The sequence below is a fragment of the Homo sapiens genome, chromosome 2 (assembly GCF_000001405.40).
Source record: "Homo sapiens chromosome 2, GRCh38.p14 Primary Assembly".
Taxonomy (NCBI): Eukaryota; Metazoa; Chordata; class Mammalia; order Primates; family Hominidae; genus Homo; species Homo sapiens.
The window spans coordinates 26,339,656-26,366,705 of NC_000002.12; the positions used below are offsets into that span (position 1 = coordinate 26,339,656).

Genomic DNA, 27,050 nt, shown 5'->3' on the forward strand with positions numbered 1-27,050 from the left:
TCTCATGGTATATACTCCCTTCACATTTATCTAACTGCATGCTAGTATCTAATTATACGCCTTCTTAGAAGTTCCGGGGGCTAATCTTGAGATAGGCAGACCAAGCCTGGAGACCCAACTGCAAAATTCCAGAGACGAATTCAAGGCAGCTAGTTAACAACCTGGCCATTGTTGAGATGACATCAGCCCGCATTCCAGGTGGATTAGGACCCAAGAGAGCCACCAGAACAAGACCCACATTGTACTCAGCACAATTCTCACATGCCTTCCTTATCAAGTTTTCCCGTTTTAAACCTCTGCTTTCCCTTCAAAAATTGAAACGATTCCTTTGGATAGAAATCTGGCCACTTTCCCTTTACCAGTTTTGGTTAATCAAATCATTTTCTTTCTACCAGACTTCGCTCTTGTTAGACTCTGCAAGCAGTGAGCATCCCGACCTGTGTTCAATTGCAATTTTACATATTGTTTCCTATTTGTATATCTTGTTTTCTAGACTTATAGACAACAGTGTCTGATTTAAAAAAAAATAGAGCCAGCTTCCATTAGAGTTCTGGTCAAACAGGCCACATAGCCTTAGTTATACATGTCAAGGAAAAAGTGAAAGTCTTAGGTAGTAGAGCTCTATGTTGGCCACTGTTGCCTTAACCCCAGTATTTCCAGAATTCCTATAGGAAAAATGAATTATATGAATTATAACAATGTTCTTTACTCTCTTGTTCCACTTAGGATTTTTTTTTTCTCCTAGTGACTTTCTCTTTCACCAAAACCGAATGACCATTGATCCAATAATCTCAAAGTTTCATGAAGGTGAAAATAATCCTCATTCAAAAATGAAGGCCCTTGCACAGCTGTGTGTTCAAACTGAAATTAAAAAAGAACAGTGGTTACATTTGGTTGCATCTGCATACCTGACATTAGATGAGATTAACATTGCCAAACAAAAATAAAGAGAAAGGATCGCAGAGGTGATGCCCCTACGGCTACTCATCTGAATGATTTGTTCTCTCTTTACCTACAGTTCTGCTTCCGTTTTAGTGGAGTAATAAAGGGGAGGAGGATGTGTGTGTGGGAGAGGTATTAATTCTTCCTCCATTCATAGAATACAGATGCTGGTTCACTACCAGAACTTCAAGAATGATGAAAATAAGACTTTGCCCAGTGTAAAACTTTGCCTGCAATCAGTTTTTAAAATAATGCTTCTTTTATTTAACAGACATGCTCATGAGTAATGGTTATAACAAAGAAACAATCACTTGCCTTCAAAAAAAAAAGAATGGCAAATATGTAGATGGTCTAAATTACTAGACCTGTGATTTTACTCTTGCCTCATATCACACTGGGTCCCTCTGAATGTTTAAACTGTCTCTAGACTTCGAATGACTACTGACACTACTGGTTTGGTAGGTTAAGACCACAAAAATGGCCATAAAACCACTGAGAAGACCGGGCAAGGTGGCTCACGCCTGTAATCCCAGCACTTTGTGTGGCCAAGGTGGGTGGATCACCTGAGGTCAGGAGTTTGAGACCAGCCTGGCCAACATAGTGAAACCCCATCTCTACTAAAAATACAAAAATTAGCCAGGCATGGTGGCGGGCGCCTGTAGTCCCAGCTACTCAGAGTCTGAGGCAGGAGAATCGCTTGAACCCAGGAGGCAGAGGTTGCGGTTAGCCAAGATCGCGCCACTGCACTCCAGCCTGGGCAACAGAATGAGGCTCCATCTTGAGAAACAAACAAACACCACTGAGAAGCTAGTTGAGAATAAGTCACAAAATAGCAGAGACACCATCCTCCCCCAGCAACATAGGAAGTAGGAGGTATTAGCTTACGCTGAATCTCATTATATTGCGTAGACTTTTTCTGTGACAAAAATATGACTGATGACCCACTCATACAGTTCCCTTTACATTCTTACCTAAGAGGATTATGATTGAAAAATGTAAAATATAGCAAAAAACAGGCAAACAAAACCCCACTTGAGAAGATTTACTATAATAACTGGGGAGTTCCTTTTTGTTTTTTTTGGTAGAGACAGGGTCTCCCTATGTTGCCCAGGCTGGTCTTGAATTCCTGGGCTCAAGGGACCCTCCTTTCTCAGCCTTTCAGCATGCTGGAATTTGATTAAAAACTGACTTGTGAGCTGGGCGCGGTGGCTCACACCTGTAATCCCAGCGCTTTGGGAGGCTGAGGCGGGCAGATCACGAGGTCAGGAGATCGAGACCATCCTGGCCAACACGGTGAAACCCCGTCTCTACTAAAAATACAAAAAATTAGCCGGGCATGGTGGCAGGTGCCTGTAGTCCCAGCTACTTGGGAGGCTGAGGCAGGAGAATGGCGTGAACCCGGGAGGCGGAGATTGCAGTGAGCTGATATTGCGCCACTGCACTCCAGCCTAGGCGACAGAGCAAGACTCCATCTCAAAAAAAAAACAACTGACTTGTGATTTTTTTTTTTTAATATCTTACCATCAACTTGTAGAAGCATAGTGTAGTGGAAAATTATTCAACTAAAAGTCTGATGACCTGTGTTCCTCTTTCCTGGGTGACTTTTGGTAAGATATATTACTATTCTATTGTTCCACTCTATACAATTGGAACAGCCATCAGGCCCATGGCTCAGGATTGTTAGTCATGTGAAACTGCTTTGAGAACCAGAGTTTATGTGTATAAGGCATTCATTTTTATTTTAAAATGAGAACTAAATCAATACCTTTTTACAAACTTCTTTGGAAGACCCTGCCCATTTTTATGGCTTCAGTAACTTATATTGGAGTTATTAACTACATTAGTCCTTAATTAACCTCCAATATTTTTTGGCTGTCTCCATTTATCTGATACACTCTTATTCAGACTAAATAAAACAGGCACTCCAGGAACTTAAAACACTTTATTTTGGTTATATTATAAAAATAAAAATATTGTTTCTAGCACGAATTGATATTTTCTATGATTATTATTCTGGAAGGCAAAATGCCTGATCTTGAGTGTACAAGATGTAGAAGAAATAAACTTCAATGGATGAAGAGGCAGACATGGGAAACAAAGCAATAATAAACTACACTCAGGAATGTGGCGTGTAGAGCACAGATGGGAATAACAAGGCCAATCTAAAGCAGTCCGGGGCAGCTGGGCTGCCTTAGGGAAAAATGCCTCCTGGAATAAAATTTGGGAACGAGGAAACAGAAAGGTGACTTAGTTCCAAAGGCAAATTTGTTTCCATGACATTTTTCTCTTCCCACGTGACCATGCCTGCCGGGTTTAGGATTCACAGAATTCTGCGAAAATACAGTCATGCATCACTTAATGACAGGATATGCTCTGATAGTAAATACAAAAGCCAGTAAGACAGTTAGTTATTATCAAGTATTCAGTAGTGTACATAATTATATGTGCTATACTTTTAGATGACTGGCAGCGCGGTAGGTTTGTTTACACTAGCATTACCACGAACGTGAGTAATGCCTTGTGTTACAACATTTTGACAGCTAGGATGTCACTAGATGACAGAAATTTTTCAGCTCCACTATAATCTTAAGGGACCACATGTGGTCCCTCATTGACGGAAACATGGTTATATGGAGCATGACTAATATCTTAAATTTGTATGAATTTAATTGAACAGACTGGGGCCATATCATTGTAGGTAAGACAAGATTTCCCAGATGAGATGACTTAATCTCAGAGAAGTTATATGATATACAGTTTCACTGAATTTCAGAGATGAATAGGATCGTAGTACCTAATAGGTTCTAATGGATCGAATTAGATCTTAGGATCAAATGATCTTTTTTTTTTTTATTTTTTTGAGACAGAGCCTCGCTGTGTCACCCAGACTGGAGTGCAGTGGCGCGATCTCGGCTCACTGCAAGCTCCGCCTCCCGGGTTCACACCATTCTCCTGCCTCAGCCTTCCGAGTAGCTGGGACTACAGGTACCCGCCACCACGCCCGGCTAATTTTGTTTTTATATTTTTAGTAGAGACGGGGTTTCACCGTGTTAGCCAGGATGGTCTCGATCTCCTGACCTCGTGATCCGCCCGACTCGGCCTTCCAAAGTGCTGGGATTATAGGCGTGAGCCACGGCGCCCGGCCCAAATACCCTCTTTTTGAAAAAGAGTACTGGGGCTAAGTGAAGTAAGTTGTCTGAGATTACACAGCCAGTAACATGTCAAAGTATAAACCAATTTCTGGGTTATGCTTCAGCTTATAAATTATCAGATGAATTTATAATTGATTCAAACTTGTTACAACCTTATGCAGAGAAGCAGCAAATTGTAACTGCTTTCACAAAATTAAAAGTTACTGTTTTAAAAAGTGCTTTTAAAGAAAATATCAGAGGTAGAAAACAATTTTAAGAATCAATCATGTCATTTTGAGTTTGCTTATATCTGAACTGATAAACAATAAGTGCAGTTTATAAACTATTATTAGCTTGCACTGAAGTCACATTTTATGGCTTTCCACAATTAACTAAGTTTTACAAGTATGAAGGGTTTTTTTGGTTTTGTTTTTGAGACGGAGTCTTGCTCTGTCGCCCAGGCTGGAGCGCAGTGACACAATCTCGGTTCACCGTAACCCCACCTCCCAGGCTCAAGCGATTCTCCTGCCTCAATAACCTGAGTAGCTGGGACTACAGGCGCGTGCCACCACACCCGGTTAGTTTTTGTATTTTTAGTTGAGACGAGGTTTCACCATATTGTCCAGGCTGGTCTCAAACTCCTGATCGCAAGTAATCCCTCCACCTCAGGCTCCCAAAGTGTAGGGATTACAAGCGTGAGCCACCGCGCCTGGCCGAGACTCTCATTTCTAATGTTCTTCTCAAAACTGGTACTTCACAGCATATCAAAGAGATCTTTGCTCATTCATTCAATAAAATACGTTGATCATGTATTATTTGCAAGCCCCCTGGGTTATGGAACATGGGGAAAATTAAGATGTATAAGATGCAAATACTGCCCTCGAGGGCAAGTGTGATAAAGGACACTGAAGTTTATTGGTTGGCGGGCGCCCATTCTTCAAAAAATGCAAAAAATTTAGCCGGGTGTGGTGGTGTGCGCCTGTAGTTCTAGCTACTTGGGAGACGGAAGCAAGATCACCTGAGCCAGGGGAGGTCGAGGCTGCAGTGAGCCGTGATCACGTCACTGCATTCCAGCCTGGGTGAGTCAGTCCCTGTCTCAGGGGGCGGGGAGAAGCTTATTATCTACCATATACCAGGTATAAGATTATCTATTACTTTCTAAGAATCATGCTTTAGGAGGGGAGATTAGACATGTAGTAATAATACTGTGTTTGGCATATCTCGGGTCCCCAATAAATAGTTGTTAAACGAATGAACATAAAAGTATCTCAAAATAATCGCCCTTATTTCAGAGACCCAGAGAGACTGAAAGGCTCCCTGAAGTAGTGGTTTCCCATAACACAGAACTCATTTCATGTTGGGTCGATCATTTCCGAGCTTCGTAACTAAGTGACTCTGGGCAGGCTGCCTAATCTGAAAAAGGGGATAATGCCTTTCACTTCAGTGTTGTTATGGGGTTGATAATGTATGTGAAGTTCTCCCCACAGAAGGCGCTCAATAAAAAGCAGCAACTATTATAAAATTTTATTAGTAGATACTCACTAGCCATTGATCTAGTGTTTTTTGTTTGTTTGTTTGTTTTACAATTAACTGGGCTCCAGTTATGTAAAACACCTCTTGCAAACGCATTTAAGGACTCGTCGAGACTGAGAGATCACTGCTTTTATCTGGTCGGGAGACACCAGCAATCTTAATTTGGAACGGTTTGATAGAGCGGAGTGCGATGAGGCGGTCCAAGGTTCCTAAGCAACATAGACCTGAGGGGCTTGTCTCCAATGTCCTTTCACCTGTCTTTCAAGTCCCTCTGCTGACCGCACAAAGACTCCCGTGGCCCCGGCAGCAGCTCGGCCTTCTCTACATCTAACCACGTTTACTAAATTTCTACGGCACGCAGCGCACCGCACCAGGAGCTGGGAGCGGCTCGCGGTACAGACCTCCTTCCTCTTTTACTTCGCTGCAGCGGGAGAACTAAGTCCTCTTACCTGAGGCACTGCTGAACTGGTTCGCAAGCAGTCACTCTACCCCCAAGACTAAAACGGTATACCCCAGATCACCACGCAAGTGCGGATACCACAGAAATCCCACCTTCCCCCGGGACCGGGAGCAAAGCCCGCTGGGAAATTGACCTTTCACCCCCTCTCTTGCCTTACCTCAGCTCACCAATTTTGACGCTAGCAAATGAAGCGACGAAGAGAGCTGGAAGGCGGGACTTAGTGTTGCCTGATCCACGCCGATTGGACAACAGCAGTGTCGGGGGACGGGCCGCTCGAGCGGGCTAGCAACCCCCCCTCGATGGGCGGGGAGAAGCGTGGGCTGCGCTTGCGCACTGAGAGGCGGCCGAAGGGGCCGAGGCGGCTACGCGTGCGCGGTGGGCGGAGCGCGGCTCTCCTACCTTCTCGGGCAGCCCAGTCTTTGCCATCCTTGCCCAGCCGGTGTGGTGCTTGTGTGTCACAGCCTTGTAGCCGGGAGTCGCTGCCGAGTGGGCGCTCAGTTTTCGGGTCGTCATGGCTGGCTACGAATACGTGAGCCCGGAGCAGCTGGCTGGCTTTGATAAGTACAAGGTACCGCGGGCCGGCGGATGCCCCTCTCCCTGCTCCCGGCCTCGCCCAGGCGGCTGAGGGGCCCGCGCGGCGCGGTCCGTGTCACCTTGTGCCGCGTGGCTCCGGGCGGGCTGGCGGGCGTTCCTCCGGAGGTCCTGCGGGTCCTGGGGATTGGGGGTCGGGGAGCGTGGGAGCATCCTAAGCCCGCCGCCCGTAGTCGGCACCCCCCGGGAGATTTCCTTTTCCTTAGGAGAGCGCTCAGTGATCATGGAGCGAGGGAATTCCCTTCCTATTTTTTTTAAACTTATTATTTTCGTAAGCCCCCGAAAGGATGGAGTTCCTTCTGTTGTGTCAATCGCCTTCATTTTAGTGAAGTTTCCACTCGCCTGTCATGCATACAACTTCGGAGGAGGAGATGATCGTTTGGCAGATGAGGCCCGGGAGGGGAGCGACTTGCCGATGCCATCCTGCTGATGTCTCCACTTCTGCTCCCGGCAGGGACTTCCTAAGCGGCAGCTTGTGGCGCTAGGGCCACCAGATGAAAGGGAGGTGCACAGGAAGGAGCTGTGGAGTGGAAAGAGCGCGGGCTTTCGAGCACATACAAACCTGATTACAAAAGTCAGATTTCTTTATTTCGTCTTGGGCACGTCATTTTAACCCCGCTCAGCCTCTCTTTTGTGTATGAAACTGAAAGTAATAGCTTCTGCTGTGCAAAATGATTAGAGGAATTTGTGAAGCGCTTGGCAACATACTAGGACCCCAGTAAATAAATGCGGGTGGTTAACTTTCCTCCAAATCTGGTTCCCATCCGCAGTTCCTTTACCAATGAATGACTCTAACCATCCAGTCGACCAAGCCTGAAATATGGGCTTTAACCCTTCATCCTTGTTGTTACCCGTTCATCTTCACATCTTAGCTTAAATATTGCTTCCTCAAAGAAGCCCTCCCTACGTGCCCCTTTCCCCCTTAAATGTGCGCTCTGTTCGTTTATGGAATTGCTGCTTTAGCGTGTCTCGCCATTAGAATATAATGCCCAACTCATTAGAGTTTTCTTGTGGACCATCATGGCTTAAGCACAGTGCTATGTGCATACTAGGCACCCAGTAAGCATTTGTGGAATGAATGAATAACTGAAAAAGTCATAATGGATTTTGTTTAACTCGAGTTAAAAAAAAAAAAAGCAAGGGTCCTTAGAAGGTCACATAGCATGTTTCTCTGCTTTCAAGCCGTATTGTGCCATACCATTCTGAACCGAGGTGATGACTTGTCTTAACATTTTAAGTGGAAAGAGGGTCCAGAGCCTTCTTGGTAACTCGGGCCAGTGCTTTTCAACTTTCATTTTAGAAGGCTGTTAACCCAGATACCTCCTGTTTTGCCTTAAGCTCTACTCCCCTTTTGTTGTCTGTTCTGCAGGGTAAATATTGACATATAAAACATTTTCTTCCTTACTAGGGTCTGACTTTCTAAGTGCCAATAAAATAGCTATTTCAATGGGAGCAGTGTTTATAATAGGAAATCTCCTTTTTCTTATAAAGAATCTTCCCTAGATTTATATTTTCAACTAAATAAGTGTCTTAATTTACTAGAAGTTTCGTGTAATTTTCTGTTCTGATCTTTCCCCCTTTTTTATTATATAAGTTCCTGTATCTGACAGCAGATGACTTCCTATCATCCTGGAAAACAAAGGTCGATTTAGCAAGCGTCCAATGTTCACTAAAATAGTTTGTTGATATCATTTTAGTTATAATGAGGCTTCCTTGGGGAAAAAAAAGCACACATTTATAACCTAAATATTCTTCTATTGCAATTACTCAATACTGCATTTATATTAAAATTATGAATCCAGTGGTATCCAAAGGAAAAATCCATGGGATCAGTTTTGCTTGAACACAAATCTCACAGATCTTTTTTTCTTATCGTTGCGTTCCCCTTATGTTGTCTTCAGATAGTAAGCGCTTTATAAATGCTTATTTTAAAAAGTCTTTTTTCCCCATAAATGGGTAAAGATTGAAAACACTCAAAAGATATTTTGTATTCCCTCATGTGATGCTTTATAAGAGGGATGTAAAGAAGAACTGACACTACAAAAGCAGTTGGTGGAAAAATTACTTTTGAAGTAGTTTAATTTATCTTCCCTAGAGGTATATCTGAGAGCTACAGTTGGAAACCTGACAGATATACAGAATAACTGCTGAAAGGGGTGCACACGGGGAGTGGAAATTAGGTTTCTGAAGCAGGAAACTATAAGACAATTGATTTTTGGTATGGAAGAGCGTGGGATGGATTCTGTGTTATGTATTGACACTTGCATTCGCTATTGTGTTACTTAACGCAATTGTATTAAACAGTTAGTTGACTATTAGTTGAATGTCTACTTTCTCTTTTAGGACGTGAGCTTTAAGAGGGCAGGCCCTATGGCTGACTTTTTTTTTTTTTTCTTTAATAACATGACTGAGGTCTAGCACAGTACCATGAACAGAGTAAGTGCTAAACAAATATTGAAGGAATGAGAATGTAAAAGAATCAACCATTTTGGAAGTATGGTTAAAAAAAAAAAAGGAGCTCTATGTCTGGATATTGAAAGGGTGCTTTTGTATTTTAAATGTGAAGATATCAGGTTTAACTGCCATTGTTCTCTGTTGCTTATTAACTAAGGTAACTTCAGAGAATTATACTGAAGGATTTCAGCCTTATTTTTGCCTCTACCCATCCTTTGTTTTGGACAGGCTTTTTTTTTTTTTTTTTTTTTTTTTTTTTTTTTTTGGAGATGGAGGTTTGCTCTTGTTGCCCAGGCTGGAGTGCAATGGCGCGATCTCAGCTCACTGAAACCTCCGCCTCCTGCGTTCAAGCGATTCTCCTGTCTCAGCCTCCCGAGTAGCTGGGATTACAGGCATGCACCACCTCACCTGGCTAACTTTGTATTTTTAGTAGCGGTGCATTTCTCCATGTTGGTCAGGCTGGTCTCGAACTCCCAACCTCAGGTGATCCGCCCTGGCCTCCCAGAGTGCTGAGATTACAGGCATGAGCCACCACACTTGTCTTTTTTTTTTTTTTTGAGATGGAGTTTTGCTTTTGTCGCCCAGGCTGGAGTGCAGTGGCGCGATCTCAGCTCACTGCAGCCTCCGCCTCCCGGGTTCAAGCAGTTCTCCTGCCTCAGCCTCCTGAGTAGCTGGGATTACAGGCGCCTGCCACCATGCCCGGCTAATTTTTGTATTTTTCTTTGAGACAGGGTTTCACATGTTGGCCAGGCTGGTCTCGAACTCCTGACCTCAGGTGATCCACCCACCTCGGCCTCCCAAAGTGTTGGGATTAAAGGCGTGAGCCACCGTGCCCAGCCCTTGGACAGGTCTTTATAGTTGAGGGATTTTTCCCCACTTATCTAAGGGTGAAACTGCAAGTTGGTTTTTTTTTTTTTTTTTTTGTCCTGGTTTGCTCATCATTTGGGAAGGCAAAGTTTTAATTGATAGTGTAGCAGCTACTTTGAAATTGTATCATTTTGCCTAAGGGAGGAAATATTCTGTGAAATATCTTGTTTGGTTGGTTCGAGAAAGTTATTTGTCTGGGCACAGTGGCTCATGCCTGTAATCCCAACACTTCCGGAGGCTGAGGTGGGAGGATGGCTTGAGGATAGAAGTTGGGCAACATAGTGAGACCTCATCTCCACAAAAAAAAAAAAAAAAAAAAAAAAAAATTAGCCAGGCATGGTAGCACGTGCCTATGGTCCTAGCTACTTGGGAGGCTGAAGTGGGAGGATCAGTTGAGTCTGGAAGTTGAGCTGCAGTGAGCTATGATTGTGCCACTGTTTTGCAGCCTGAGCAACAGAGAAAGACCCTGACTCAAAAAAAAAAAGTGTGTGTGTATAAATATATATATAGTTTCATGATGAACTGGTTTTTGATATTATGGTAATTAATTAACTTGGCTCTCAACAACAGCCTGATTATAGGAATCATGATAATTGTGAATTTATTAGTATTACAATTAGAGGTGGTAAAGAGAGATTGTGTTTGCATCTTAATGGTAATACTAAAGAACCAGAATCTGGCCTTTAACCTTACTAGTTCCTGAAAATTTCATAAAAAATTATTTTCATTCTTATCTTTTTTTAGAGACAGGGTCTTGCTTTGTCGCCCAGGCTGGAGTGCAGTGGTGCGATCATAGCTTACTGCAGCCTTGAATTCCTCAGGTGATCTTCCTCCCTTGGCCTCACAAAGTGCTGGGATTATAGGCAGGGGCCACCGTGCCTGGCCATCATACAGTTTGATTTTGTTTATTCAACAAGCATTTATTGAGGGTCTACTCAGTGTCAGGCATAGCATTTGGGCTGCAAAATTAAGCTAAGTTGAAATTCTTGTCTTCAAATAACTCAGTTTGGTGGCATGTGAACATGTAAATGAACAGTTATAAAAAGTTAATAAGTCCAGTTAGGCAAGTGCTGGCTGCTATGGAAGAGGAGAGGAGGCAGCTTCCAGGGAGTGGGAGCTAGAGTTGAGAAAGCCTTCAGGGGATGGAGGTGAAGGCAAAGCTCAGTCTAGAAAGATGAATATGTATATTTATATTATATAGAGAGAAGGAGAGAGAGAGAGATGCTGCTCCATTTATGATGGGTTTCTGTTCCTGATAGACCTATTGTAGTCAAAAATACATTTAATACACTTAACCTACTGAACATCATAGCTTAGCCTAGCCTACCTTAAATGTGCTCAGAACACTTAGATTAATTCGCCTGTACTTGAGCAAAATCATCTGGCAGTGCAGTAGAGAATTGGTTGTTCACTGTTTGTTTGTTTTTTTTTTTTTTTTTTTTTGAGACGGAGTCTCGTTTTGTTGCCCAGGCTGGAGTGCAGAGGTACAATCTCGGCTCACTGCCACCTCCACCTCCTGGGTTCAAGCAATTCTCGTGCCTCAGCCTCCCGAGTGTCTAGGATTACAGGCACGCACCACCACACCCGGCTAATTTTTGTATTTTTAGTAGAGACAGGTTTCGCCATGTTGGCCAGGGTGGTCTTGAACTTCGGACCTCAGGTGATCCGCCTGCCTTGGCCTCCCAAAGTGCTGGGATTACAGGCATGAGCCACTACACCTGGCCTGTTCACCCTTGTGATTGCATTACTGACTAGGAGCTGTGGCTCGCTGTGCTGCCCAGAATTTTGAGAGAATATCATAGCACTTTCTACCGAATGCGTGTTGCCTTTGCACCATCGTAAAGTTGAAAAATTACGAGTGAAACTGTCATAAATCAGACTGTACTACCAGGTTAAGAGGGGAGAAAGGCATTATGGAACAAGAGAGCAATGGAGTGTAAAGTGATGAAGGCCTCGGTATTTTCTGGGAACCACAAGAAGTTAGATAAGGTCTTTAGACATAATGGTGGAGTGGCAGGAGATGAGACTGGAGAGGGAGGTGGGGTGCTGTCAGAGGGGAATGATTTGATGTAAAGGACTTCTGGATTTGATCCTGTAGATCACTGTGTGGTTCAAGGACTGTTGGCATCAGAATCACTTCGGGAGGGTCTTTAGCAAATTCCTGGCTCTCTTTGGGAGATACAGATTGGATAGATTGCGGTTATTTCCATCTTTAACAAATACCTCAGGCCAGGTGCAGTGCCTTAGGCCTTAATTCCAGCACTTTGGGAGGCCAAAGCAAGTGGATTGCTTGAGCCCAGTAGTTTGAGACCAGCTGGGACAATATGGTGAAACCCAGTTTCACCAAAAATACAAAAATTAGCCGGGTGTTATGGCGCATACCTGTGTCCCAGCTACTCTGGAGGCTGAGGTGGGAGGATTGCTGAAGCCTGGGAAGTCAAGGCTGCAGTGAGCTGAGATCACGCCACTGCACTCTGGTCTAGGTGACAGAGTGAGACCCTGTCTCAGAGAAGAAAAAAAAGCCAAATATCTTAAGTGGTTCTTAGGCACATTATAGTGCTATAGGTTTTGGGGAGCCACTGTTTAAAATTGAAATCTAGACAGGATCACATTTCAATTTTAGGAAGCTCACTCTGGCAGCGTGTAGAAGATGGAGAGAGATAGAGGTGCTCTGGAGGCCTTTTAGGATGCTTCTGCATAAAACTAAGTTAAGAAATGTCAAAGGCCTGAACTAAGGGGTGGGGATAAAAAGGAAGGAGTGGGGATTCTAAAGATAGACGTCAAAACAGGTTGACCTGCACACTGAATTTAGCCAACAGTTATGTTTAATTTGGCCCACACTTGCTTTCTTTCAAAAATTAGTATCTCTAGCCGGGTGCGGTGGCTCACGCCTGTAATCTCAGTTACTTTGGGAGGCCGAGGCAGGTGGATCACGAGGTCAGGAGTTCGAGACCACCCTGGCCAAGATGGTGAAACCCTGTCTCTACTAAAAATACAAAAATTAGCTGGGCATGGTGGTGTGTGCCTGTAATCCCAACTACTTGGGAGGCTGAGGCAGGAGAATCGCTTGAATCTGGGAGGTGGAGGTTGCAGTGAGCCAAGATCGTGCCACTGCACTCCAGCATGGGAGACAGAGCGAGACTTCATCTCAATAATAATAAAAAAAATTAGTGTCTTTCTCATAAAAGTCCAGATTTCTGGATTCTCTTGAAAAAAAAAAAAAAAACCAGAATATTGGACTATACTGGCCCTGAACTTCCTCTTGACAAGAATCAGCTGATGCTGAATAGTGCTTGCCCTCTTTTTATTTGCTCTCTAATTTGCCACTTCTCTACCAATGCATATGCTTTATGCAGGAATGCTTTGTTCAGTTTACCTGCTAGATCCCTGTGATCCTTGATTTGAAGATACAAGATTGGCAGAACATGGTGACTGACTAGCTGGAGGTGGTGTAGAGGGCCACATAAAAGACGGGGAGGAGTCTAGGATGACTCAGGTTCTGGTAGGATGACTGGGTGGATAGAAGTGGTAGTCACTGAGGCAGGGTTTTATGAAACAGCATACTGTTTTATATATATAATTTTTTAAAAAAATACAATAGTGTTTTGCACAGGTCACTTCTCTTGGATGGGACCACATGAAAGTGTGGCTTATGGACTTGGAATTAAAACAAAGAAAACTTGTAAAGAAATCTCATTTGTGAATGAGTTGTCCTCTATTAGAGGACATTTCTGTAAAAATTTCAAAGATACGAACACTTTTCCTTTTAGAGCCTCAATAGAACATGAGAAATTCTTGATATTTTGATTTTCATTTATTATGACTACAAGCTGACTACAATACAATATGTTAATTATGGCATTGCCTGGATCCATTACAGTTAATTGAAGCATAACTTATCTTTAATTGTACCTTTGTCACCTTGACTAGATTTGGGGAACTGCCCTCTGTTCCCTGTAAGTACATTAATAAGGCTTGAAATGTATTCTAGTTGTCTTAGATAGTGATTTATATATGTCTGGCAGAAAGAATTATTTCTGCAGTTGGCAGAGACAAGAAGGATGGGTGGAAAACTGCAGAAGGGGAGAGATTTAGTGGTAAGAAGATGGCTACTACATTTTTAGGTGCTATTTGGAGGAAACATCTTGAATTGGATCTTTTACTGCCTTCTGAAATAACAGTTCACTGATGATGGCTTGTTTCTCTAACTGCTGTAGTGCTTAAATATTAAGAAATTCTTTGCTAAATAAGAGTTTGCCTACTGCATACGGGAAACTCGGGGAAAGGTGTGCCATTCAAAGACACCCGTGGGAACCAAGGCACAGAGACTGGAAAGACCCTGGTATGTTAGAAGCACAAGGAAGTGGCGGGTGTGTAAGTGACCAGGCCGAGCCTTGGGAGCTCAGTGAGGGAAAGCATTATCATCATAAATACTGAATAACAATAATAATGATAGCAAACATTTATATATTGTATACTCTGTGCCAGGCACTGCTTTAAGTGCTTTATGTGTATTATCTCATTTAATATTCACAACTGCCATCTGAGAAAGAGGTACTATTTTCCCTGTTTCACCGAGACACTGAAAATTTAAGTAATTTGCTCAGGGTCCCACAGCTCGTAAGTGGTGGAGCTGAGATTTGAACTCAGGCAATCAGTCTGGAGTCCATGTTCTTCCTGCTATTCTGCCTCTCAAAACTAAGAGTGAAATATAAACTCTGCCTTGTAGGTACTGGCTGTTTGTTTTTGTTTTTTTGTTTTGTTTTTGTTTTTTCGAGACTCTCGCTCTGTCGCCCAGGCTGGAGTGCAGTGGTGCGATCTCGGCTCACTGCAAGCTCCGCCTCCTGGGTTCACGCTATTCTCCTTCTTCAGCCTCCCGATTAGCTGGGACTACAGGCGGCCGCCACCACGCCCGGCTAATTTTTTGTTTTTTTTTTTTAGTAGAGACGGGGTTTCACCGTGTTAGCTAGGATGGTCTTGATCTCCTGACTTCATGATTCGCCCGCCTTGGCCTTCCAAAGTGCTGGGATTACAGATGTGAGCCACCGCGCCTGGCGGTACTGGCTGTTTTTGTGTAAGATATATAAACATTAGAATAAAGACCTTCAATGGCATGCTTAATTGGATGTGTATCTAATGTACGCAGATGGGGAAAATGTAGTGGAAAAAACCTGATTTTGTTTACTCTTTCCCTGGTTTAAAATTATTAGTAGGGGCAAGCGGGCCTGAATTTACTAGTCTTGCATTTAGTTGAGCATAAAGACCATTTCATTTATGATTAGCTCTATTTGAGATAAAAGGCTTTTGATTAAATAATTAGCTTTTGGACTAATATTACGTTAAAAAGTTTCCACATACCAGCTGTGTGATACTTAGCAGGTAACTTAATCTAACCAGGTTTCCTCATCTGTGAAATGGAGTAGTACCTACCCCATAGGATAATTCTGAAAACTGAATGAGTTAAAATTTATAAAGTGCCTGGCACATAGTGCTGTATAAGTGCTGAGTAAATAAATAAAACTTGACATTTGTGATTCCCTGCACAAATGAACATTGGCTAGCATATAATATATCCACACTTATACACATCCCTGGTGGTTATACCAAGAGAAACTATTTTCAGATAGGAAGTGAAGGGTGGCAACGTAATGGACAGCTGGAAAGAGTAATAAGGAGTCTGTCTAGCTTGGGTCCCCCAGATAGTCTTTGGCTTCAGATTTCTTCTGAAAAGAATAATTATATGTAATAGCACAGAGACAATAAATAATTTTTCTCAAATACTGCACCCTATTTAAGAGTCAGCAGTGGCTTCCATGTGTTTGATATCCAAATTCCTCAGCAAAGATTTCAAGTTCATTCACTAAATGACGCCTCCTTTTGCCATATCTTCTCATCTTGTTAGAGCTTACTTAAAGTCTAGCAAGCAAACCTGTTTGTCATCATGACTTGCTTGTATTTGTCTCATTGCTCTAATTCTCCAGTCTCCTATTGCCACCCTCCTCTCTCCGACTTGTTAGATGTAAACGACGGTATTCACTGAAATTAGATCTCCTTGCTCAATGAGTCATGTTCTCTGTGGGCGTAGTTCTTCAAGTCTCTCTCTCTCTCTCCCTTTTTTTTTTTTTGAGAGAGTGTCTCGCTCTGTTGCTTAGGCTGGAGTGCAGTGGCACTATCACGGCTCACTGTAGCCTCAACCTCCCCAGGCTCAGGTGATCCTCCCACTTCAACCTCTCAAGTAGCTGGACTACAGTCATACGCCACCACACCTGGCTCATTTTTGTATTATTTTGTAGAAATGGGGTTTCTCTGTGTTTCCCAGGCTGGTCTTGAAGCTCTGGGTTCAAGCTATCTGCCTATCTCAGCCTCCCAAAGTGCTGGCATTATTGGCGTGAGCCACCTTGCCTGGGTGAGCCAGCATTCCTGGCCTCAAGTCTTGTATTGATTAAAAGTACATTAAAAAACTTTTTATTTCTGTCCTAGGGTTAATTATCCTTCCCCCTACTTTTTTTGTATTTTAAGTTTAGCGATGTTTTGTTTTAATTAGAAATAAGATCTCCCTCTGTTGCCCAGGCTGAAGTACAGTGACATGTCATAGCTCATTGCAGCCTCAAACTCCTGGGTTCAGGTGATCCTCCCACTTCAGCCTCCTGAGTAGCTGGGACTACAGGCGTGTACTACCATGCCTGGTTAATAGATAGTAGAGCATTACTTGGGGCAGTGGACTCAGTGTGATTACTAAGTTGTCCAGAGCTCAGTATTTAGTGCAAAGATGTGTCAGTTCAGTTTTCTTATTGGTACATAGAAGGGATTTAAATACATGTATAAAGGACATACTTTTAGGTCCAAGAAGGTGTTTTCATAGTTTTCCTTATGTTAGAGCCAATTTCCTTCTTAAATTAAGGGGGACTCATTTCTAATCTTCTCAAAAATGGACACTTCACAGCATATTTAGAAAGTATTTTACAAGTCATTGTACTGCTCCTAGACTAAACCCATAATTGTCACTTGCCTGATAAACTATAATAGTTTCTAACTGGTCTCTAGTTTGTACTTTACCCCCTTCAAGTCCATTTTCTACATCATGTTCAGAATGGTCCTCTTAAGGACCATTTTTTGTTCTTAGAATAAAATCCAACTCCCTGTGGTCCTGCCAGGTGATGTCTGCCCACCTTTCCAGTCTCATTTTATATCACCCTTCTTTATGATGCTGGAGCTCCATTGGCCTTCCTTCAGCATTTCTGATACTTCTGTTGGTGGTCTTTGTACATGTTATTGTTCTCCTGCCTTGAAGGTGTTTCTTGGCATGTATTACATCCCTACCTCCACACACACACACACGTGAGTCATACAGTCTTTCGTTTTCTCTCTCTTTTCCTTTTTAGGTAAAAATTACATATAAATACTGTAATACATTAAGATCTTAAGTGTATAATTTACTGCTTTATTACATGTGTATATACCCATGTAACCACCACCCAGCTCAAGATACAGAATTATTTCTAGTGCCTCAGAAGGTCCCCATCAGTCCCTCTCACCAAACTACTGTTAGGACTTCTTTTGCCATAAATCAATTCTGTTTTTGAACTTCATATAAGTGGAATCTATGAAAGCACATTGTCTTTAGCCTTCCACTCACTACTGTGTCTCATACATTCTTTACCTGACTGCCTTCTCATCTAGGACTCAGCTTAAATGTCGCCTTCTAGAAGCTGCCTCTGACCACTCTGACTAGGCACACTTCCTGCTCCACTTGTTCTCTTCTTTTTTGGGAGCTGGTTACCATCTTTACTAGCCTCCTAAGGCTGCCATAAAAATTACCACACACTGAGTGGCTTTAAACAACAGAATTTTAATTCTCTCATAGTTACGGAGGCTAGAAGTGTAGAAAAACAAGGTATTGGCAGAGCCACACACCCTCCAAAAGCTCTAGGCGAGAATCCTTCCTTGCCTCTATTTCAGCTTCCAGTAGCTCCTGGCCTGCCTGGGCCTGTGGCAGCGTAACTCCAAGCTTGCCCTCCCTCTTCATATGGCCTTCTTCCCTGTGTTTCTGTCCCCTTGTCCTCTTCTTACATAATACTCGGATAATTCCCTTTGTAGTATTTATCACAAATTGTGTACATGTGGTTATTTTTTAAGGGGTGTGGGGAGCAGTGTCTTGCTTTGTTGCTGATATGCTTTGGCTGTGCCCCCACCCAAATCTCACCTTGAATTGTAGCTCCCATAATTCCCACGAATTGTGGGAGGGACCCATTCGGAGAAATTGAACCATGGGGGCGGTTTCCTCCATACTGTTTTTGTGGTAGTAAATAAGTCTCATGAGATCTGATGGTTTTATAAGAGGAAACCCCTTTTGCTTGGCTCTCATTCTCTTTGCCTGTCGCCAAGTAAGACATGCCTTTCGCCTTCCACTATGATTGTGAGGCCTCCTCAGCCACATGGAACTGTGAGTCCATTAAACCTGTTTTTCTTTATAAATTACCCAGTCTCAGTGGGGCGCAGTGGCTCACGCCTGCAATCCCAGCACTTTGAGAGCCCAAGACGGGAGGATCTCTTGAGGTCAGGAGTTCAAGACAAGCCTGGCCAACATGGTGAAACCCCATCTCTACTAAAAATACAAAATTTAGCCAGGCTATGGGGTGCACATCTGTGAGGCTGAGGCAGGAGAATCGCTTGAACCTGGGAGGCGGAGGTTGCAGTGAGCCGAGATCGCTGCCACTGTACTCCAGCCTGGTGACAGAGTGAGACTCCGTCTCAAAAGAAGACAAAAACAAAACAAAAAAAACCTTTTATAGCCCAGGCTGGTCTCAAACTCCTGGGCTCAAGTGATTCCCCCACCCCACCTCAGCCTCCCAAGGCACTGGGATTACAAGCATGAGCCACAATGCCCGGTCCATAATAGCAGTCTTGAGGGAAATATTTAGAAGGTCTACGTTGATTGGCATTTTTACAGAGACTTAAGTGAAAGCATTATTAGCATGACCAGATTTATATGCTGAGAGTTTTGGTAGGAATAGCTATTTCCTTGGATAACCAAGCCAGGATCAGAAGAAATCTGGAGAGGGCAGAAATGAGTTGACTTTAGCAAGATGAAATGTTAAAACTTTAGATGCAGTATCACACCTGCATTCCAGTAGTCAAGCTCATATTAGCATAGAGAAAGATGGCTTTGCAGTCCACGTGAGAAAGGCCTGAGGGGGTTCAGGTGACTGCAGTATGATTTAGTTGTCCCGGGAATTAATAATATCTTGAGCAGCATAAGTTATCAAGGAAGAGGGGCTTATAGTCATGTTCTGCTTCCTATTCATATACCACTTGAAATGCTCCTTTTGCCCTAGACCACATGTTTGTGTTGATTTAACAACAAATTGGATTGTCTGAAGCAGGGGTTGTCAAACTGAAGCCCCCAGTCTGCCTGTTTTAGTGAATACAGTTTTATTAGAACACCGCCAGCCCCATTTGCTTACATATTTTCTGTGACTGCTTTCCTGTTCCAAGTGTTATGTATTTGTTGCAAAGACCATATGGCCTGCAAAGCCTCAAATATTTACTATATAGACCTTTACAGAAAAAGCTCTCCAACCCCTGGTGTATTAAACTAGACCTAGATAACGAAGGAGACTGAAACCATGGCAAAAAGGAGTATAGGAACAGATGATGAAAAGATTTAGGTGTGACAGGGAGCGCTGTCTTCAAATATTTGAAAGACTGTAGTTTAGAAGAAAAATTAGGCCTGGTGTAGTGGTACTTGCCTGTAATCCTAGAACTTTGGGAGGCTGAGATGGGCAGATCACCTGAGGTCAGGGGTTCAAGACCAGCCTGACCAACATGGTGAAACCGCGACTCTACTAAAAATACAAAAATTAGCCAGGTGTGGTGGCGGGTGCCTGTAATCCCAACTACTCAAGAGGCTGAGGCAGGAGAATCGTTTGAACCCGGGAGGCAGAGGTTGCAGTGAGCTGAGATCACACCACTGCACTCCAGCCTGGGTGACAGAGTGAGACTCTGTCTCAAAAAAAAGAAAAATTAGACTGCTTAACTTGTAGAGCAAAATGAAAACACAGGATAGATGATATAGGGCAGGGGAGGATTTTGTTAGTGTATAGAAAAATTGTTTTAACTTTGAATTGGGTTGCTTCTGGAAGTAATGAGTTGGTGAGTTTTTTTGTTTGTTTTGGTTTTTTGGTGATCTGAGGCCTGTAAAATGAGGCCCGATGACTGTTTTACGTCTTCTCCTAAATGAGGGTCAGATATACAATGGTGTATAAGGTTAGGCATCTCTGAGCTCTGAGGTTTTTCATGGAACGAGTCTATCAAACCCAGCCTGTGGTCCTCAAGCAGTTTTGAGGGCTCTAGCTTACCCTAGCCTGATAGATTGTAGAGCCAAGCAAGTCATGCCAGGTCTTAACTGGATTATCTACCTGGTTCAGGTTTCCTGGTGTTTGCCAAAATGTCACTCCAGTGGAAAATAATACCTTTAACAAACATTAACAAACCCAAATCTAGTCTAGCACCTTTAAAAGTCTGCATTTTATCTTTTTCATGAACATGGAAGGTTCAAGTCATTCTTCTTCTTGTGGGTTCTTAAGACAGTTTAGAGTTTGTTTATTGTGAGTGGTATGTGACCTTGAAAAATACTCAGGTGTGTAAGGCGAGAGCACAGAGTTTTGCTGCCTTCTATAATCTATTAATCTTTCTTCCTGTTTGAACTCATCAGCTGTTATTGAATGTCAAATAATTGAAATCCAATTAGGTAAACTGGCCTCCTTGTGTCAAACTTCTGATCTCCTGAAGTCGAAATTTCATGTTAAAGCTTCAGAATTTTAAAAGCGGAGCTTTTCAAGTCAAAATACCATTCCTTAAAGACGTTCTTTTAGATTAAAGTTAAATTATGGAAAGCTGCTGAATGAAAATGAGCAAACAGTTGAATTAAGAACATTGCACAGTTACTTTGTGCACTATATTAGGTATTCATGTGATATCTTAAACGGTTTTCTTCTGATCTGAACTTACAACTTCTGTGCTTTAAGATGGATGGTGGACTTGAAAGGAGTGATTTTTCATTTTATTTGCCCCGCTGGCTATATTTCGTGGTTCTGGGTGCAGACTTTTGTGAAGTAAAGGAGTGTAGGGCCCTCCTATCTTGTCATTGGCAGCCTGTAGGGGTTCATATTGGTTCCTGGTCCTCAGGTCTGAAGACTTAAATTCAGGCAGTCCTGTCAGTTCAGAACTCTTTCATTCTGCACAGGCTCCAATGGAGTGATATCTATTATGGAAAGGCTTTGTAAACTGTAGACCATCCTGGCCGGCACGGTGGCTTACGCCTGTAATCCCAGCACTTTGGGAGGCCAAGGTGGGTGGGTCACGAGGTCAGGAGATCGAGACCATCCTGGCTAACACGGTGAAACTCCGTCTCTACTAAAAATACAAAAAATTAGCTGGGCGTGGTGGTGGGCGCCTATAGTCCTAGCTACTCAGGAGGCTGAAGCAGGAGAATGGCATGAACCTGGGAGGCGGAGCTTGCAGTGAGCCAAGATCGCGCCACTGCACTCCAGCCTGGGAGACAGAGTGAGACTCCGTCTCAAAAAGTATATGGGAGGATGTGTGTAGGTTATAGACAAATACTGTGCCATTTTATATAAGGGAGTTGAACATCCACAGAGAGTCCTGGGGCCAATTCCCCAAAGATACCGAGGGGCGACTGTATATACTATTTTTTCCTATACATACACACCTGTGATAAAGTTTAGGCACAGTGAGTGATTAACAACAACAACTAAGAATAAAACAACTATAACAATGTACTGTTATTACATTTATGTGAATTTGGTCTCTCTCTCTCAAAACGTCTGTGTGTACTGTACTTACCTATTTTCCGACCCTGGTTGGCTATGGTTAAAATGAAACCTTGGTTAAGTAGGTGACTGCTGTACTAATATAAGTGGGCTCCTGCTGAGAGGCTGGATGCAGCTTTAGAGTTTCTACCTCTGGCCATTAGAAGCAAACCACATTGTCCATCATCATTTCTTTTTTTTTTTTTTGAGATGGAGTCTCACTCTGTAGTCTAGGCTGGAGCGCAGTGGCACAATCTTGGCTCACTGCAGCCTGTGCCCCCTTGGTTCAAACGATTCTCCTGCCTCAGCCTCCCAAGTACCTGGGATTACAGGCGTATGCCACCACACCCGACTAATTTGTTTTTGTATTTTTAGTAGACACGGAGTTTCACCGTGTCAGCCAGGCTGGTCTCGAACTCATGACCTCAAATGATCCGCCCGCCTCGGCCTCCCAAAGTGCTGGAATTATAGGCGTGAGCCACGCACCTAGCCAGCCCATCATCATTTCTTACTACTGTCTCAGATCTTTTGTCCAATTTATTTCATTTTAGTTAGGATGGGTTGGAGAAATGGAAGAACCTCAGACATGGAGTCTGTTGAATAAACATTTGGCTTATTGGTTGACTCTTTGCTAAAAGAGTTGACTCTTTTAGCAGAGTCTTGCTCTGTCGCCCAGGCTGGAGTAAGCTCCACCTCCCGGGTTCACGCCATTCTCCTACCTCAGCCTCCCGAGTAGCTAGGAGTACAGGCACCTGCCACCGTGCCCGGCTAATTTTTTGTATTTTTAGTAGAGACGGGGTTTCACCGTGTTAGCCAGGATGGTCTCGATCTCCTGACCTCGTGATCCATCACACTTTTAAGTCTTGAAACACTGATGTATTTCTTCCATATTCATAAAACTTATTCAGAAAGAAATTTTGATCTTTAATTATGATTTTTAAAAATCAGATACTCAAATGATTACTACTTATTTTGTATACATACTGAACACACATAGAAAATATAAGCAAAGGTGGCCAGGTCTGGTGGCTCACGCCTGTAATCCCAGCACTTTGGGAGGCCGAGGCAGGTGGGTCACCTGAGATCAGGAGTTCAAGACCAGCCTGGCCAACATGGTGAAACCCCGTCTCTACTAAAAATACAAAAACTAGCCAGGTGGTGCACACCTCTAATCCCAGCTACTCGGGAGGCTGAGGCAGGAGAATTGGTTGAACTCAGGAGGCGGAGGTTGCAGTGAGCTGAGATCGCGCCACTGCATTCCCGCCTGGGTGACAGAGCGACTCTGTCTCAAAAAAAAGAAAAAAAAAAGAAAAACTTTTTCAAGCGTGTGACTAGTATAATATGTAAATTTCAGATGGATGAATTAGGTAATCACCCAGGTAATACTGTGAACCCTCAAGGAGGGTTTGAACTAGGCTAATATTACCTAGTTCAAGACTTGTCTGTTACCAGTTTTGTATCTCTTCTTCCCCATACCTAGCAGTGTGTGTGTGTGTGGAGTGAATAAGTTATCAACATGACCCTTAAAGTTTTACATGTTTATGTATGTCTTTTAAAATTTCCTTTACATTCTTATTAAATAGCTCAGTAACTGGGGAATAAGCTCCCTTACCGTATGACCCTAACCTATTTTGTCTTCCTGTGCGTGTTTATGCAATTCAGTATCCTGCTATACAGGGATCTGTCATTCCTTTGGTACTTAAAACATATGTAATTATAATAGCTAATACTTACGTAGTACTTACTGTAGGTCAGTTCTGAGCACTTCACATATCTAATCCTTATGACAATCCCTTGAGGTAAGGACTATCATCTTCATTTTACAGGTGAAGAAACTAAGGCAGAGAGATTAAGTAACTTGCCCAAGGTCTCACAGGTAGTAAGTGTATCGTAATAGTATCAAAAGGAAACACAGATTCCGCTAAGTTGAGAGGGATGAAGGAGGTTGAGAAGGTGTGTGGTTAGTGTGTGAATGCATGCAGTGTGCATTTTGCTGATCCTGCATAATAAGTGAGGACATGTAAGCAATAAAAATTTCTCTACTGAAACACCATAATGTAAAAGCTGATTGAGAGTGAAGGATGAGTCAGTGATTATCTTGGCGATTTGGACTCTGGTTGTATGTGCCAATGAAACAACCACTGTATGATTAACTCTGCGATTTGGGTTGATCTTTAGACTTCCCCTATGATAATATCTGACTGCTTGATAGTCTTTGCCTCATTTATGTTGCTATTCCAGTTTTGCTACTCAGATTAGGACATCATAAAAATAGGTGTATTCTCCAGGTTATTTTTGTATTATTATTATTATTATTTTTGAGACTCAGTCTTGCTTTGTCGCCCAGGCTGGAGTGCAGTGGCACAGGCTTGGCTCACTGCAACCTTTGCCTCAGCCTCCCAAGTAGCTGGGATTACAGGCGTGTGCCACCATGGCCCAGCAAATTTTTGTATTTTTAGTAGAGACAGGGTTTCACCACGTTGGCCAGGCTGATCTTGAACTCCTGACCTCAAGTAATCTGCCTGCCTTGACCTTCCCGAAGTGCTAGGATTATAGGTGTGAGCCACCATGCCTGGCCTGTAGTATTTTTGTACTATTACTTTCTTTCTCCCCCTTTTTTTTTTTTTTTTTTTTTGGAGATGGGATCTCACTATGTTGCCCAGGCTGGTCTCAAATTCCTGGGCTCAAGTGATCCTCAGGCCTCAGCCTTTTGAGTAGCTGGGTTATATGCATGCGCCACTGCGCCTGGCTTTACTATTATTTTCACCTAAGAAATGTTATTCTGTCTACTAGTAGGCAAGGATTTACTCTGAATATTTTCTTTCATTTCTTAACAGTACAGTGCTGTGGATACCAATCCACTTTCTCTGTATGTCATGCATCCATTCTGGAACACTATAGTAAAGGTAAGATAATTAATATGTATGTACTTTTTGTTTTAGTAAGTTTTAAAGATTTTAACCTATTTTATGGAGTATTATAAATGCAACTCTCAGTTTCATAAGATATTTAGAGAAACCACCCTTCCCCAATCACAATACCCCAAATCACATACCTTTTGATTTATCTTACTGTTGAAGTTTATACCCTGGGATTTGTCACTTTTGTAAAATCCCTTTTAAAATTTTTCTAAAATAGACTTAATGTTATGATTATAGAAGTTTGCTGATTACAGAGTTAGTTAAAAAATAGAGGATGGAAGAAAGAATGCTGATGGAGATTATCGTTTACGTGTTAATGTCTATAACTTCTCCATATGATCTTTCAAATGTATAGCTTTTATTATGACTTCAGTTTGCATGTTGTAGTATACATTGGACAGAGATTCCTCTACTTTAATTATTTTATAATTATTTTGCAAAAATAGGTATTTCCTACTTGGCTGGCGCCCAATCTGATAACTTTTTCTGGCTTTCTGCTGGTCGTATTCAATTTTCTGCTAATGGCATACTTTGATCCTGACTTTTATGCCTCAGGTAAGAATATTACTTTATTATAAAATTTAACTGAGTAGAAAAAAATGAAATGTGGATGCTTATTTTCTGGTTTTGTTAAAATGTTCATATTTCTAAAAAATTTTGAATATTATAATGGCATCACCTTGCCTATTGAATTAGATATGTTGTCTAAAAAGCAATGAGGTTTTGGCAGATAAAGAATAATTGGGTTTACATGAAGATGGAAAATTAAGACTCAAAACTTTGCCTAAAAATGAATACAAACAGGGCTCAGTTTACCTGTCAGCTCTAGGAATATCCCTTCTCCTTTTCTAGTCATGAAAGAAAAATCCCCTTTCTTCTGAAGGACATGTGATTGTCTTTCCTTCTTCCCAGCATCCCTACTTGACTTGAATGACTCCTAGTTTCCTCTGAAAATGATACTTAGACCTTAAGTATTTATTGCTAAGTCTGGACCCTTATTGAGGAAGAGAGGAAGGAGGCACTTTTGGAGCCAGTGGTCAGCCTGCTCCTGCCCTCTGCTCCAACATCTTCTCTCTCACTCATTTTATCTTCACTCTGTTTCACACCCAGCTTCTGCCCCAGGCCAAAGAATTGGGATGACGAGGGAATAGTTGGAGACAAGTTTTGTTTTTATTGTTCAGTCAGTTGATTGCATTGAGAGGAATAGAAAGTTGGAGATAGATGGGCATTTTTTGCATTCTAAGAGAATTTTCCAACAGTAATACTTAGAAATGATGTAGTCAGGAGTGTTAGTGTTATAATTCATCTGTGTATGAGTTCAGCAGACTTTTCTGGACTGACCTGGAGAAACTGAGTACCACTGACAACATTGTTTTAGTAGAAAAATTTGGAGTTTCAAACACTTAAGACTTTTTTTTTTTTTTTTTTTTTTTTGAGACGGAGTGTCACTCTGTCGCCCAGGCTGGAGTACAATGATGCCATCTTGGCTCACTGAAACCTCTGCCTCCCAGGTTCAAGCGATTCTCCTGCCTCAGCGTCCTGAGTAGCTGGGACTACAGGCGTGTACTTCCATGCCCAGCTAATTTTTGTATTTGTAGTAGAGCAGGGTTTCACCATGTTGGCCAGGCTGGTCTCAAACTCCTGACCTCAAATGATCCACCCGCCTTGGCCTCCCAAAGTGCTGGGATTACAGGTGTGAGCCACTGCACCTGGCCAAGACTTTTGATACTATAGAAATTCCAAATATTGAAAGTATACATATGCTGAACTTTACTGAAACTTTTAGCCATAGCTTCTGTACATGTAATAAAATGGTAATTGAAGTTGGAAATGCCAACTCTGAAGCATGAGAAGATCATAAAGTACACATGAATAAAGAGTAAGATTAAATTTTGTTAAGCATTGTTTGGGTATTGTGGGTTTTTAAAAATTTATTTATTTATTTATTTATTTTTGTATTTTAATCCTCAGGACACCCTAAAGAATGTATCTTTGTAACTAGAAATACTATTTTCTTTGACAACTCTAAATAAGATTATTTACTTAGCTATTAACAGCATCAAACATATGTAAATGTTATATATATCTCCCCAAATCATATAAGTTCAAGGACCAGATAAACCATCTGTTCCCAAAATATTTGGAAAATACAAGATGGGAGAGATTAAATGATACATTCAAGGTTACACTGCTGGTTGATTACAAAGCCAGGACTAGACCCTAGACTTTCTGATTCTCAGTTGTTTTGTCTTAGGGGAAAAAGTGAGCTCTAGATATTTCAGAATGATTCTGATGCCCAAATCATTCAGTTGAGGTGATC

The 27,050-nt window shown here is 42.3% G+C and overlaps 2 protein-coding genes across 11 annotated transcripts in view, besides 7 other annotated features; one reads left to right on the forward strand and one right to left on the reverse strand.

Moving 5' to 3' along the window:
* ADGRF3 (adhesion G protein-coupled receptor F3) overlaps positions 1-7,134 on the reverse strand; it is a 38,617-nt gene extending 31,483 nt beyond the window's left edge. For 7 of the 9 annotated variants that reach the window (NR_135916.2, NR_171656.1, NM_001393343.1 and 4 more), the window contains exon 1: positions 6,466-7,134. Coding sequence is in view for 4 of the 9 variants with exons in the window: in NM_153835.4 (NP_722577.2) it covers positions 6,466-6,579 (114 nt within the window). In the remaining 5 variants the exon portion in view is untranslated. Of the gene's footprint in view, positions 1-6,055; positions 6,157-6,223 lie in introns of those variants that run through there. The other 2 variants (NR_171657.1, NM_001321975.2) reach the window with 2 other exon arrangements.
* Positions 5,953-6,092: an enhancer, noted in NCBI's record as "active region_15470". NCBI's record gives its function as "activates an Ori minimal core promoter by ATAC-STARR-seq in GM12878 lymphoblastoid cells {active_cell/tissue: GM12878}" and the evidence as "EXISTENCE:reporter gene assay evidence [ECO:0000049][PMID:35858748]".
* Positions 6,303-6,532: a silencer, noted in NCBI's record as "silent region_11271". NCBI's record gives its function as "represses an Ori minimal core promoter by ATAC-STARR-seq in GM12878 lymphoblastoid cells {active_cell/tissue: GM12878}" and the evidence as "EXISTENCE:reporter gene assay evidence [ECO:0000049][PMID:35858748]".
* Positions 6,303-7,180: a biological region, named in NCBI's record as "H3K27ac hESC enhancer GRCh37_chr2:26568936-26569703".
* Positions 6,413-7,180: an enhancer, noted in NCBI's record as "H3K27ac hESC enhancer chr2:26568936-26569703 (GRCh37/hg19 assembly coordinates)". NCBI's record gives its function as "activates a minimal SCP1, AML or CMV promoter by ChIP-STARR-seq in naive H9 embryonic stem cells {active_cell/tissue: H9 hESC(naive)}" and the evidence as "EXISTENCE:reporter gene assay evidence [ECO:0000049][PMID:30033119]".
* Positions 6,488-27,050, forward strand: part of SELENOI (selenoprotein I) — a 49,743-nt gene continuing 29,180 nt past the window's right edge. For both annotated transcript variants that reach the window (NR_137633.2, NM_033505.4), the window contains exons 1-3: positions 6,488-6,634; positions 24,647-24,715; positions 25,177-25,285. Coding sequence is in view for 1 of the 2 variants with exons in the window: in NM_033505.4 (NP_277040.1) it covers positions 6,578-6,634; positions 24,647-24,715; positions 25,177-25,285 (235 nt within the window). In the remaining variant the exon portion in view is untranslated. The remainder of the gene's footprint in view (positions 6,635-24,646; positions 24,716-25,176; positions 25,286-27,050) is intronic.
* Positions 6,583-6,642: a silencer, noted in NCBI's record as "silent region_11272". NCBI's record gives its function as "represses an Ori minimal core promoter by ATAC-STARR-seq in GM12878 lymphoblastoid cells {active_cell/tissue: GM12878}" and the evidence as "EXISTENCE:reporter gene assay evidence [ECO:0000049][PMID:35858748]".
* Positions 6,703-6,752: a silencer, noted in NCBI's record as "silent region_11273". NCBI's record gives its function as "represses an Ori minimal core promoter by ATAC-STARR-seq in GM12878 lymphoblastoid cells {active_cell/tissue: GM12878}" and the evidence as "EXISTENCE:reporter gene assay evidence [ECO:0000049][PMID:35858748]".
* Positions 7,293-7,392: an enhancer, noted in NCBI's record as "active region_15471". NCBI's record gives its function as "activates an Ori minimal core promoter by ATAC-STARR-seq in GM12878 lymphoblastoid cells {active_cell/tissue: GM12878}" and the evidence as "EXISTENCE:reporter gene assay evidence [ECO:0000049][PMID:35858748]".